Source organism: Homo sapiens, chromosome 8 (genome assembly GCF_000001405.40).
Source record: "Homo sapiens chromosome 8, GRCh38.p14 Primary Assembly".
Lineage (NCBI taxonomy): Eukaryota > Metazoa > Chordata > Mammalia > Primates > Hominidae > Homo > Homo sapiens.
The window spans coordinates 100,466,477-100,479,217 of record NC_000008.11 but is presented as its reverse complement, the minus strand read 5'-3'; the positions used below and the strand labels follow the sequence as shown (position 1 = coordinate 100,479,217).

The 12,741-nt window shown below is 44.4% G+C and overlaps 1 annotated feature.

Moving 5' to 3' along the window:
* Positions 3,381-3,460: an enhancer, noted in NCBI's record as "active region_27703". NCBI's record gives its function as "activates an Ori minimal core promoter by ATAC-STARR-seq in GM12878 lymphoblastoid cells {active_cell/tissue: GM12878}" and the evidence as "EXISTENCE:reporter gene assay evidence [ECO:0000049][PMID:35858748]".

Below are 12,741 nucleotides of genomic sequence, written 5' to 3'. Positions count from 1 at the left end.
GTGGATCATGAGGTCAGGAGATCATGACCATCCTGGCTAACACGGTGAAACCCCATCTCTACTAAAAATACAAAAAACTAGCCGGGCATGGTGGTGGGCACCTGTAGTCCCAGCTACTCGGGAGGCTGAGGCAGGAGAATGGCTTGAACCCGTGAGGCGGAGCTTGTAGTGAGCCAAGACTGCACCACTGCACTCCAGCCTGGGCAACAGAGCGAGACTCCATCTCCAAAAAAAAAAAAAAAATTACAAAACCTCAAATGAACAAATCATAAGTCTACTATTCAATGTACTTTGACAAATTCACATATCTGTGTAATCCAAACCCTCATCTGATACAGAATATTTCCATTACCTTAAAGCATTCCCAAATACCTAAATCTCTATTCCCACTTCCAGAACAAACATTGTTCTGACTTTTTTTCTGCCTTGGATGATTAGGTTTGCCTGTTCTAGAATTTCATATAAATGACATTGTTCAGTATCTACTCTTTTGTCACTTAAAATAGTATTTTAATGTTTTATTCTTCTTAAGAAAAGTTTTTAAAAAGTAGTTAATTTCAGGCCAGGCACAGTGGCTTATGCCTATAATCTCAGCACTTTGGGAGGCCAAGGTAGGCTGATTGCTTGAGCCCAGGAGTTCAAGACCGGCCTGGGCAACATGGCAAAAACCAAAAACTTGTTGCTACTACATATATATATATATATATATATATATATATATATACACACACACACACACACACACACACACACACATACACACACACACATATACACAAATATATATATATACACACATACACAAATATATATACACACATATATATATAAACTAGCTGGGCATGGTGGTGCATGCCTATAGTTGCAGCTACTCAGGAGGCTGAGGTAGGAGGATCACTTGAGCCTGGGATGTTGAGGCTGCTGTGAGCTGTGATTGGACCACTGCATTCCAGCCTGAGTGAATGAGCCAGACCCTGCCTCAAAAAAAGGTAGTTAATTCCTTTTGCTTATTGATTTTATTTCATTTATATGACTATATCGTAGTTTGTGCTCTGATTCTCTTGTTGATGGACATTTGGGTTGTCTCCCCTTTTTTGTTATTATAAATGAAGCTGCCGTGAACTTGTACAAGATTTTTGAAGTTACAGGTTTTTATGTCTCTTACATAAATACTTAGAAGTAGAATTGCTGAGTTGTAGGGTAGGCATATGTTTAGTTTTATAAGAAACTGACAGACATTTTTTCAAAAATGGTTGTGCCATTTTACACTCCTACTAAAGATGTGTGTGAGAGTCCTGGTTGCATGACATCCTTCCAACATTTAGTTTTTCAGTTTTCTTAATCTTAGCCTCTCAGGTAGGTATGTAGTGGTATCTTATTATGATTTTAATTTATATTTCTCTGATGATTAATGGCATTGAGAACTTTGTCACATGCTTATTGGCCAGTAGTATGTCTTCCTTTGTGAAGTATCTGTTCACATCTTTTGCCCATGTTTGATGGAGTTGTCTTTTTACTTTTGAGATTCAACTTGCGAGTAGTTAGTTAAGAATTTTATACATCCATATTCACTAAAAATATTGGTGTGTAATTTACTTTTATTATAATAGCCTTCTTTGGTTTAGGTATCAGGTATCAGTCTTCTTTGGGTTTGGATGATCTCATAAAGTGCATTGGGAAGTATTCTCTCCTATTCCATTTTATAAAATAATTTAGGTAATATCTCTTTTTCCACCCTTATATTTACAACCCATTTCTGACTTTATATTTGTTCTGTGCTTGTAGATAGCATAAAATTGGGTCTTGATTTTTTTTCCAATCTGAAAATCCTTGACTTTGTAGTGTTTTAGTCAATTTACATTTAATGTAATTGTTGATATAGTTATTTATTATTTGTTCTTAGTTTGTCTAATCTTTTCTTTTCCCCCTGCTCTTCCTTCCTGCTTTCTTTACAGTTTTAACGGATTTTGCTTTTAAAATTACGTTTTAATTTATCTACTGACTTTTTGCCAGACTGAAGATGCCAAAACTATAAACAGAAGCCATAAATTGTGGTCTTCAAGCCTCTCGTTCTTTGCTAATTTACTTCATTGTCATCACCTTCCCTCACCACCTATTTCCCTTACTCCTGTAAGTGAGCTTGCCTAAAATTTTATCATGAGTTCCAATCACTAGGCTGAGAGCACCCCCAGACATTTTGTTAAATAAGGACATCCTGTTATGAAGCTTTCCCTGTCTTTTATTAATGATTGAAGGGCTACCACAATACCATTACCTCAGAGAAAAAGCCTGTTTTCTCAAATGCTTTTCTCCTTGGTCACATATCCCAGCCTTAAGTTCATGTATTGAACCAATGATTTCTAAGTGGTTTAGCTTATTATTAAAGTGTCCTTTAAACATGGCCTAAACCTTGGCTGGTGCAGCTGGAGGAGTGAGAGCTGATATCAGAATGCTCTGGCCTGTACATCAGGAAAATGCTAACACCTGCCCCAACCAGATGCTCCTTCTCCAACCATCCCTATACCACAAATCAACTTTTTTTTTTTTAAAAAAAAAACCTACAGTGGTGGGGTTTCCTTTTTAAAATACCTGCCTCCTGATGAGACTGTGAGAGAAGGATGATTTTGACAAGGGTGTAGTCTCACCAGGATTACAAAATTGGCTGAAAGCTGAATGGGTTCCTCAAATATATTTTTTGAACATTTGGATTTAAATGCTTTTGGGCAGGAGGAGAACTCTCCAGTGATTCTCAGGTCCAGCCACTCTCTAGTGTGTTTTGACTGGCCCCAGTAAGTATTTAGGTTGGTAGCCCTTGTGGCAAGTTCTGTTTACAGGCATCTAGAAGAGTACAAGAAAACTTGCATGCTGGCTGGGCCCTTGGCACCTGAATAAAGGATCCAAAAACCAGACAGCCTGAGCAGCCATAGATTCGTATCTGAGTGGGGCCAGTAAAGACATGGGAACTCACTTCATAGACCCCGAGTTTCAGCCTGCCAGTCCCAGGCCCAGCTGCTCTCACAAGTTATTTAGGTTCCTCTTTCTGGCCACACAAGCTACAGCTGGAAAAATCCACCTGAACAGCCTAATTTTCTAACTCAAAAATTCAGGCTTAACCAGCAGCATTTGTGGGCAAGGATCATAAAGAACAAACTGGGATAACCCTATACAAGTCAAGAATGACTCGAGTTTATGGAATGAAATGGAGTTGCCCTAGGTCCTCGGAACTTCAGAGGAGAGCCTGGAACTCTAGTGGAGCTCTAGAGCCACAGATCTGGGGTTGAATGGTGGCGACAGCCTCCCCTGTGGCCTCTCTGACTAGCGTGATCCCACTTCCCCACTCCTCAACTGGGGCCCCACAGTGGTGGCATCTTCCTCACTCACCATTCAGATGCTCTTAGTGACTTCCAGTGTCCTCAGTAGAAATCCCAAATCGATGGCTTGGCTCATAGGTCAGGATTTTGACCTTAGGTAACTCTTCAGCCTGCACTCTCCCCACACCACTCTCTACACTCTCTGACCCCAACATTGCATGGGTAACAAGATGTGTCATGCCCAGCCTGTGGCCCTGTTTTTCCCTCCTCCTGGGTCACGCCCATCCCCCTGGCCCCACCCCACTGGATCAGTTTCCTGTTGCTGCTGTTACAAATTTCCACAGACTTTGTGGCTTAAAACAAAACAGGCCAGGTGTGGTGCCTCACACCTGTAATCCCAGCACTTTGGGAGGCCGAGGCTGGTGGATCACTTGAGGTCAGAGTTCGAAACCAGCCTGGCCAAACATGGTGAAACCTCATCTTTACTAAAAATACAAAAATTAGTGGGGCGTGGTGGCAGGCACCTTTAATCCCAGCTACTTGGGAAGCTGAGGTAGGAGAAACACTTGAACTGGGGAGGCGGAGGTTGCAATGAGCTGAGATCATGCCAGTGCACTCCAGCCTAGGCAACAGAGTGAGACTCCATCTCAAAAACAAAAACAAAAACAAATAACAATTTAGTAGGTCAGAGTTCTGGAAGCCAGAAGCCTGAAACCAGTTTCACAGAGCCAAAGTCAAGGTGCTGGCCAGGCTGGCTCCTTCTGGAGGCTCTGAGGGTGAAGCCTGTTTTCTTGCCTTCATCAGTTTCTAGGGACCACCTGTGTTCCAAGACTTGTGGGCCCTTCCTGCTTCAAAGCACACCCCTCCAATCTCTGTCAGTGAGGTCACAAGGCCTTCTCTTCCTCTGTGGTCAAATCTTCTTCTACCTCCCTCTTCTAAGGACCCCGGTGATACATTCAGGGCTGCCCAGATAATCCAGGACAACCTCTTACCTCAAAACCCTTAATTCAGTCAGATCTGCAATGTTCTGTGTGCCCCATACGGTGACATTGATAGGTTCCAGTGATTAGGATGCAGATGTTTTGGAGATTACCACATTCACCAAGCTGGTAACTCCCTATCTGCCTTCCAGGTTCTGCTCAGACTTCATCATTCTCCTCTGAGTGGCTTCCCCAATCCCCAAGGTTGTGTTCGGGGCTGCACCTTTGCTCTCCACAGCCCCTGGCTCCCTAATGAAGCTCCCAGTGCCCTGGATTGTAACTGCCTTTTCGCCTCCCTTCTCGCAACTATTAGCAGCTTGAGGGCTGGGATCTCATCCACTTTCTTCCTCTCAGTATCATAAAGATCCGGCACAGCATACATGCTTGAGATATGTTTGCAGGAAGGAAGGGGTCCCTTCTGGCTGACAACCCCAGGATGAAAAGGCCTGATGACGTGGGCACAGAGGTCCCCTATTTAAAGTGATAAGGGGGCCCGAAGAAAGCAGGGCTATGGCTGGGAGTGCTGGTGGACCAGGCCACATTTTGCCTTGTGGGTGTGCCCCTTACATCTGGACTCCAGAGCTTTGCATAAGGTGTGCAAGAGACAACCACTAAGAGAGCCCCCAGGTCCCTCTGGTCACATCTATTGCTCACTGCAACTTTCCTGTCACTCTGACCCCAGGGACATGGCCTTGGGGGAAAAGTGCTGGGAGTCCAACGTCATTGTACTTCTGAGGTGGTCTGTGACTGGCTCACTTAGACATTGATTAACTTTTCAAGGAAACACAATCATTAGGCAAATTCCATCCACCTATCAGGAAAGATATAAACATCAGCAAACATTAACCCAGACCCATGGGTTTACAGCTCACAGCTGCCCCTGGGCACACTGGCGGTACCAGCTTGCCCCAGGTCCAGGTAGCTGCTTGGTTGAAGGGAATGAAACTCACAGTCATGTGCAACAGATACAGGAATGTGACCCTTGGAATGGGGGCCTGTGCATCACCAACGTTTGTGAATCAGCAAGAAACACAAAACACACATGCCCTCCAAGGCTGAATGATAGCTCATGCTGCATCTGTTTTTTTCTGACAAGGCTAACCTAGTTTTAATTATTTATACTAAAACTTATAAGCCACTAAAAATGTCCTGCAGAATGAGGATACAAGGGAAAGAAGTCTTGGTAATCTGAGACCCTGCTGCAGCAGGAGCTCTGCTCTTAAGCCTCACTGGCAACAAGCTCGGGCTGTTTCTGGGGAGTCCTTTGCTGTGTGGTCAAGGCAGAAAGGGTGGGAGAGGTTTCTGTGAGTTTCTGTTGGAGGAGTATGGGTGGAAACAGAGCTAGGGAGTCTAATCTACACTCAAAAAGCATAAACCTCTCAGAGACTGCTAAGGCCAGGGCAATATAGGACTGAAAAACCCCCTCCATGAAGCCCACCAGGCCACTCTGCTGTCACAACCCCCGCAGGTGTCTGGGTGCTGGTGGCTGGACATTCTGGAACTCACAGTAAAAGCACTGGTCGTATTGGCAGCACCAATAGCTTCACTCCAAGATGATCCCTCAGCTGATGATCTTTGACCCCTTTTATGCAGTTCAGAGGCCTTCACTCCCTGAATTTCCCGAAGAAGCACCCTTCCACCCTCTACTTTCCTCCTCCCTTCCCACTGCTCTGCATCTTTTAGCTACACCTTCACTCTGTTACCTCCTCCAACTGGAGTCCCATGCCCTCCGGCATCCTGGGAAAAGGAGAAAGATGACCCCAAGAGAGGGATCTCGGAATGAATAAGAACTATTCATTTGAGCTTCTCATGTCACATAACTCGTATCAGTTCTATAAAACTTGGGTTTCTTTTCTCTATCATTAACCCTGACTTGACAGGCAGCCTAGGGTCATGATTAAGAACATGAATTTGGGGATCAGACAGACCTGGGTTAGTGGTAGCTCTGTTATTTATAAACTGTGTGCTCTTGAGGAAGCTAACCCACCCTATCTTCCTCGGTTTCCCTACCCATTCCCACTTAAGTAACAGTGATACCCAGCTCACAGGGCAGTTATGAGAAGGAAACGAGATCTTGCATGAAAAAGGTTTAATGATTCTTTGTATGCATAGTGAGTGTGATTGCCGTAATAGGATTGTGGGTAATATAAAAACAGCGTAAAGAAACTTTGGTTAGAAAATGCTGGTGAATCAACCACTGTGACCTCTATTTTATATTCAGGGTGGATGGAGTTGAGTGGGAAACTTTCCCAAAAGCACATGGGAGGTAAGTTCCCATAGGGATGTGATTGTGCAAGCCACTTCCAAATACCACCTGGATCTCCAAGCAAACAAGCATCATATCCTAATCCTGCATTGCTTATGTGGAGAATCTGGCCCAGAGAAAAGCATCTCAACAGACAGGATCACACAATGTTTTTGTGCTGGGGAGGGGCTGGGCCATCCAGCTTCAGAGTGTAGGTCTGAGAAAAAGGAGCAAATGGTTCAGGGATCGCTTTATCTCACCTAGCCAGCAGGCTGATGGGGCCAAAAGCTACTTTATCAGGTCAGAGCCTTTAAAGAAGGAACTGCTCAGGGCTGAAGTAACCACAAACAGATCCAACTGGTTTTTGTGGTGGGTAATATTTGTTTGACATTAAGTCCAGATGTCTAGATTGTGAGACACATATCATTAGCATCAAAAAGTGTTTGTAAAATTCTTAGTTGAACTCCATAGTGAGTTAGATCCTGGCATAAATCAAACTGAAACCAAATTAGAGGCGCCATCCGTATAAGGAACGGGCTGGAGCCAGTCCCTGTTTCAAACAAGTGGTAAGAACCAAACTAAAGGAATTATCTATGAGCAAAAAGGACTTGCTCAATGTTCTCAGCTGTTTTCCAACGCCAGGAAAAAGTGCTAAATCATGGACATGGCAAAATAATCAAGAGCTTTGTTAAGATCTGTTTTCCTAGGGGAGCCCAGGACTGGGAGAGGGCCCCCTCCCTGGGAACACTTGGCTGATTTCCATTGCCGGGCATTTAATAAGATGCCCTGCTTAGCAACCTCTTAGGAGTGTGAGAAGTCAGTACTCCACACCCCACACCCCCCTTACCCCCCCCACCACAAACAAAACAAACAAAAAAAAACCTGCCTCAGCTGTGCTGGGTTACCCTTTCTTGGCCTTTCTTTGAAACCTAAGCATCCATATCCTCTATTTGGGGATGACTTTCTCTTCTGGCAAAGAAGTGGAAATGGTTTTATTGGTTCTTGGTTTTTTTATACACTGGTGCTGGCTATAATTTCAGATTTGTATTTTTAGGTTTGACTTTGGGTAGCAGAATGGAACACAAGCAGACCAGGTCAAGAGCTTCCATACAGAATCAGCTAGGGACAACATTTACTCCTCTCCTGGGAGATGCTCTCAGCATAGCGTCCTAAGAAGGAAACTGTCCATAAGTGTCATTCTTGTGAAAAAAGATGGAAGTAAAAATAAGAGCCTTCATCAGCTGACTTAATCTCAACAAAACCCCGCTTACACCTGGGCCTTAGACGATGACAACAAGCTACTCCACAAACATACTAATATGTTTGTAGCATCTGAAAAATAATTTATATTCACAGTTAATTTTAAAAGAGCTCTATGATCGAGATGCTGTTATCTTTAAAATAGTCTGCAAATTACATCCTGCATTAGTCCGTTTTCACACTGCTAATAAAGACATAGCCAAGACTGGGCAATTTACAAAGGAAAGACTCACAGTTCTGTGTGGCTGGGGAAGCCTCACAATCATGGCGGAAGGGCAAAGAGGAGCAAGTCACATCTTACGTGGATGGCAGCAGGCAAAAAGAGAGCTTGTGCAAAGAAACTCCCATTTTTAAAACCATCAGATCTTGTGAGATCCATTCACTATCATGAGAACAGTATGGGAAAGACCCATCCCCATAATTCAATCATCTTCCACCTAGCCCCTCCTACAACATGTGGGAATTATGGGAGTTACAAGATGAGATTTGGGTGGGGACACAGAGCTAAATCATATCATATCCTTACTTTGATGGATAAGAGGTGAAGGAATTGGAAAATAGGGGAAGAAACACATTTCATCCCCCACACCACTCCATTTCCCACAAACGTTTAAACTACTCAGGCAAACTTTCTTTTTTTTCTTTTCTGTTTGAGGCAGGGTTTTGCTCTGTTACCCAGGCTGGAGTGCAGTGGTGCAATCACAGCTCACTGCAACCTCAACCTCCTAGGCTCAAGTGATCCTCCTGCCTCCACCTCCCGAGTAGCTGAGACCACAGGTTCGTGCCACCCACCGCAGCTAATTTTTATTTTTTTGTAGAGACAGGGTCTCACTATGTTGCTCAGGCTGGTCTCAAACTCCTAGGCTCAAGCAATCCTCCTGCCTCAGTCTCCCAAAGTGCTGGGATCATGGGAATAAGCCACCATGCCCAACCTAGGCAAACTTTCTTAAGCAAATTGAAGATAAATTTGAAATATTGGAGTAAGTGGTGATAAAGTATTTCCTGCTGACAACTTAAAGCAAATAATGTTGCTGTCAAACCTTTACCACTGAGGTCAGTTGGCAATTCAGAGCAACTCTGGCATCAAAGAAATTCTGTAAGTGGATTCAATGTGCTTAGAGCAAGATTAGAAGACATAGAACATTTGAGCTAAAAGCTAAGATGGGAAATTGAGCCTTTGTATTCTGTTGAGTGAGCACACAGAGAATTTTCTAGATATACTTGATTTGATTTTAGTTTTTGAGACATGGTCTCACTGTGTTTTCCAGGCTAGTCTCAAACTCCTGGGCTCCAGTGATCCTCCCGCCTCAGCCTCCCAAGCAGCTAGGATTACAGGTGTGAGCCGCCACACCCAGCTGTGAAATATTGGTTTTAAAAAGTTGCATTTGTGTGGATGGGGCATGCTAGAGTATAAGGCTAGAGAATAACATCCTAGAAGCAATGACTATTGCCTGGGCTAAGTTATCATGGTGCCTCTAGTAGATGCTGTGAGACTTATGGTAGGGGCTGAATATTTGGGGATGACAATCATTTTTGAGCATTTTCTACTGTACATAGACACTAGAGGGGCCCCAGAAGCCCTCTGGTCTACCAGTTTCAGAACACTCGATGGTCAGGTCCGCAGGCTCTGGTGTCAGCTGGACTGGATTGGAATCTTGGCTCCACCAATCACTAGCAAGTAATTTAACCTCTCTATGCACCACTTTCTTTATTGGTCAAATGGAGATTATTAAATGACTTGTATCTTTCAAGGTCCTTGAAGGATAACTGAGGTGATGCATGCAAAAGCTTCAACATGCTTGTCAACCACAGACTAAAAATGCACTTGATGTGAGACTCTCCACTATCTCCCAAAGGCCACAGCAAGAGGGTGATGTCATCAGGAAGCTTGTATTAAATTTATATAAACATTAAAGACCAGTTTCAAGCAGGCTTAAAACTAAAAATGTCAATATACATTGTTGCCCCCTTTTTTAAAAAAAAAGAAGAAGAAGGTGCTTTGCAAATAGTTGAGATTTTTCAGGGCTTCCTAGAATAAAAATGTACCAAATGCCAACAAATTTTAATTAGTAGTTGATACCAAAAAATATCACAAAGAGCTAACCAGGCCAGGTGCAATGGCTCACACCTGTAATCCCAACACTTTGGGAGGCCGAGGCAGGAGTATTGCTTGAGGCCAGCCTGGGCAACAAGGCAAAACTACCTCTTTACAAAAAAATTAAAAATTAGCTGGGCTTAGTGGTATATACCTGTAATCCCAGCTACCAGGCTGAGGCGGGAAGATCCCTTGAGCCCAGGAGTTCAAGGTTGCAACAAGCTATAAGTGCACCACTGCACTCAAGCCTGGTCAACAGAGTGACACCCTGTCTCAAAAAAAAAAAAAGAGCCCATCTTCTCCACAAAGACCATACACTGGGCCTCCCCCTCCATGGCTATAGACTTCTAGAACAGATGGATAGATACACTGTAGTTTTTTTGTGTGTGTGAAGCTCTTAAGGCATACCAAATTTTCAATGTGATGTTCATTTCTATTTCAGTCTGTTTTAGACCAGGGGTCCTCAACCCCTGGGTCACTGACTGGTACAGGTCTGTGGCCTATTAGGAACTGGGCTGCACAGCAGGAGGTGAGTGGCAGGTGAGCAAGCATTACCACCTGAGCACCACATCCTGTCAGATCAGCAGTGGCATTAGATTTTCGTAGGAATGCAAACCCTATTGTGAACTGTGCATGCACGGGATCTAGGCTGCTCACTCCTTATGAGAATCTAATGCCTGATGATCTGAGGTGGAACAGTTTCATGTCGAAACCATCCCCCCTCCACCCACCCCTGCCCTGCTGCTGTTTGTGGAAAAATTGTCTTCCACTAAACCAGTCCCTGGTGCCAAGAAGTTTGGGGACCGCTGTTTTAGACCATTATCTGGCAGATTGCAGTTTAAATAAATTCCTACATTTATTCAACAGTGATTTACTGAGTACCTCATTAGGTGCCAGGAACAGTTCTAGACACTAGGATGACTGCATCAGTAAACACATCCCTGTCCTTGTAGTGTTTACTTTCTGGAAATACTTCTCACTGGAGACAAACAAAAATTACCTAACTGGACATTTCTTTGGATTCTAGCATGGGCTAGTGGTGAATTATCTAAGCAAGAAGATATCAAAGGCTCTGTGTAAGGAATGATGGCCCAGGTATTTGGAAACTGAGTTGAAACCCCCAAGCAGATTCTTGGGGGGCTGCCATCCTGGAAGAGCACCTGGTCTCTATCTCTGGAATGGAGGATATGTGCCTCCCTTAGGCCAGGTTCATTCTTTAAAACCAGGCGACTCAGGTGGTTTTAAAAAACCACTGCATTTCCCACAGAGTGGCCGTTAGTGTGGCAACAGGAGGGGATAAACTCAACAGGACCATGTGGGAGGCCTGGAGTGAATAGGCAGGAAAGAAATGGTGAGGAATGAGGTTTGAGAAGGGGAACTCCTGGAGGTATGGCTGAGCCTCCTGCTGCTGTGGCAACCTCAGGGCACAGAGTGCCTGTGAGGAGGAGTCGTCCAGTTAGTGGTTGATTGTTGAATCCTTCGAAGCTTTCAACAGAAAGCCACAAAGGCCGGCTCTGGTAATCAAAAATAAAGGAGTTTATGGGAAGGGAATTGGCTAGCTCACAGACTTAGCGGGAGCCTGGAGAAGCAATTCCATAGAACGATGTCCAAATCCATGCTACAGCCCTGTCCTGATGAGGAAGCAGCTGCCACCCGGGCAAAAGCTCCCAGCCAGGCAACTCCACTGATGCCATCTTAACCACATTTCTTCCCAAAGAAACCTCTGTTACCTGCCTTGCCAGCAAAATGGGTTCTGTAAGGTCCTCACTTCCAAGTCCAGGTCCCCCACAGGTAATTTGATTGGGAGAACCCAGCTCATATTACTTGTGCTGTAATGGCAGAGGAGTTTGCAGACTGAATTTTCTGGGTTGTTCCTGGTGAAAGTAGGACTTACAAAGCAGGACATTTCCCAAGTAGAGCAAAGGTGAGTTTAAAAAGTTGCTGGACAGCCAGGAAACGTGGCAGGTGTCTGCTTCATTCAATTGCTTAAGGGGCCCCAAGGCCAATATCCACCATCCACCAATATTAAGCACAACATCAACTACAACAAAATTCTCTTGCCTAACACAGTTCAGCTCTCCCTCATGCAGACTAAAAAGACTCCTCTTCTGCCTGAAGTGGGGGTAGCTCAAATTCAAATTCAAACAGTAATGGGCCCTCCGAAGTCAAGCAAAAGAGAAGCCATTTCATCTTTTATTGGAGAAAACTAGCAAGAGTATTTATGGTATAAAACTTTTGGGGAGCAATTGCTTGATTAAAGAATTATCAAGAACCCAATGGGGCCAGGCCTGATGGCTCACACCTGTAATCCCAATGTTTTGGGAGGCCAAGGTGGAAGGATCAGTTGAGCCCAAGAGTTCAAACCAGCTTGGGCAACATAGGGAGACCCCCGCCTCTGCAAAAAATTGAAAAATTAGCTCAGCTTGGTGGTCCATGTCCAGTCCCAGCCAAGACTACAGGCTACTCGGAAGGCAGGAGGATCGCTTGAGCCCAGAAGTTCAAGGCTGCCGTGAGCTATGCTTGCACCACTGCACTCCAGCCTGGGCGACAGAGACCTTGTCTTAAAACAAACAAACAAAAACCGATGGGGACCTCTCCTTTTGTTTATTTTTATTTATTTATTTGTTGGAGACAGAGTTTCTCTCTCTCGCCCAGGCTGGAGTACAGTGGCGCAATCTCGGCTCACTGCAACCTCCACCTCCCGGATTCAAGAGATTCTTGTGCCTCAGCCTCCCAAGTAGCTGGGATTATAGGTGCACACCATCATGCCTGGCTGATTTTTGTATTTTTTGTAGAGATGGATTTTCGCCATATTGGCCAGGCTGGTCTCAAACTCCTGACCTCAAGTGA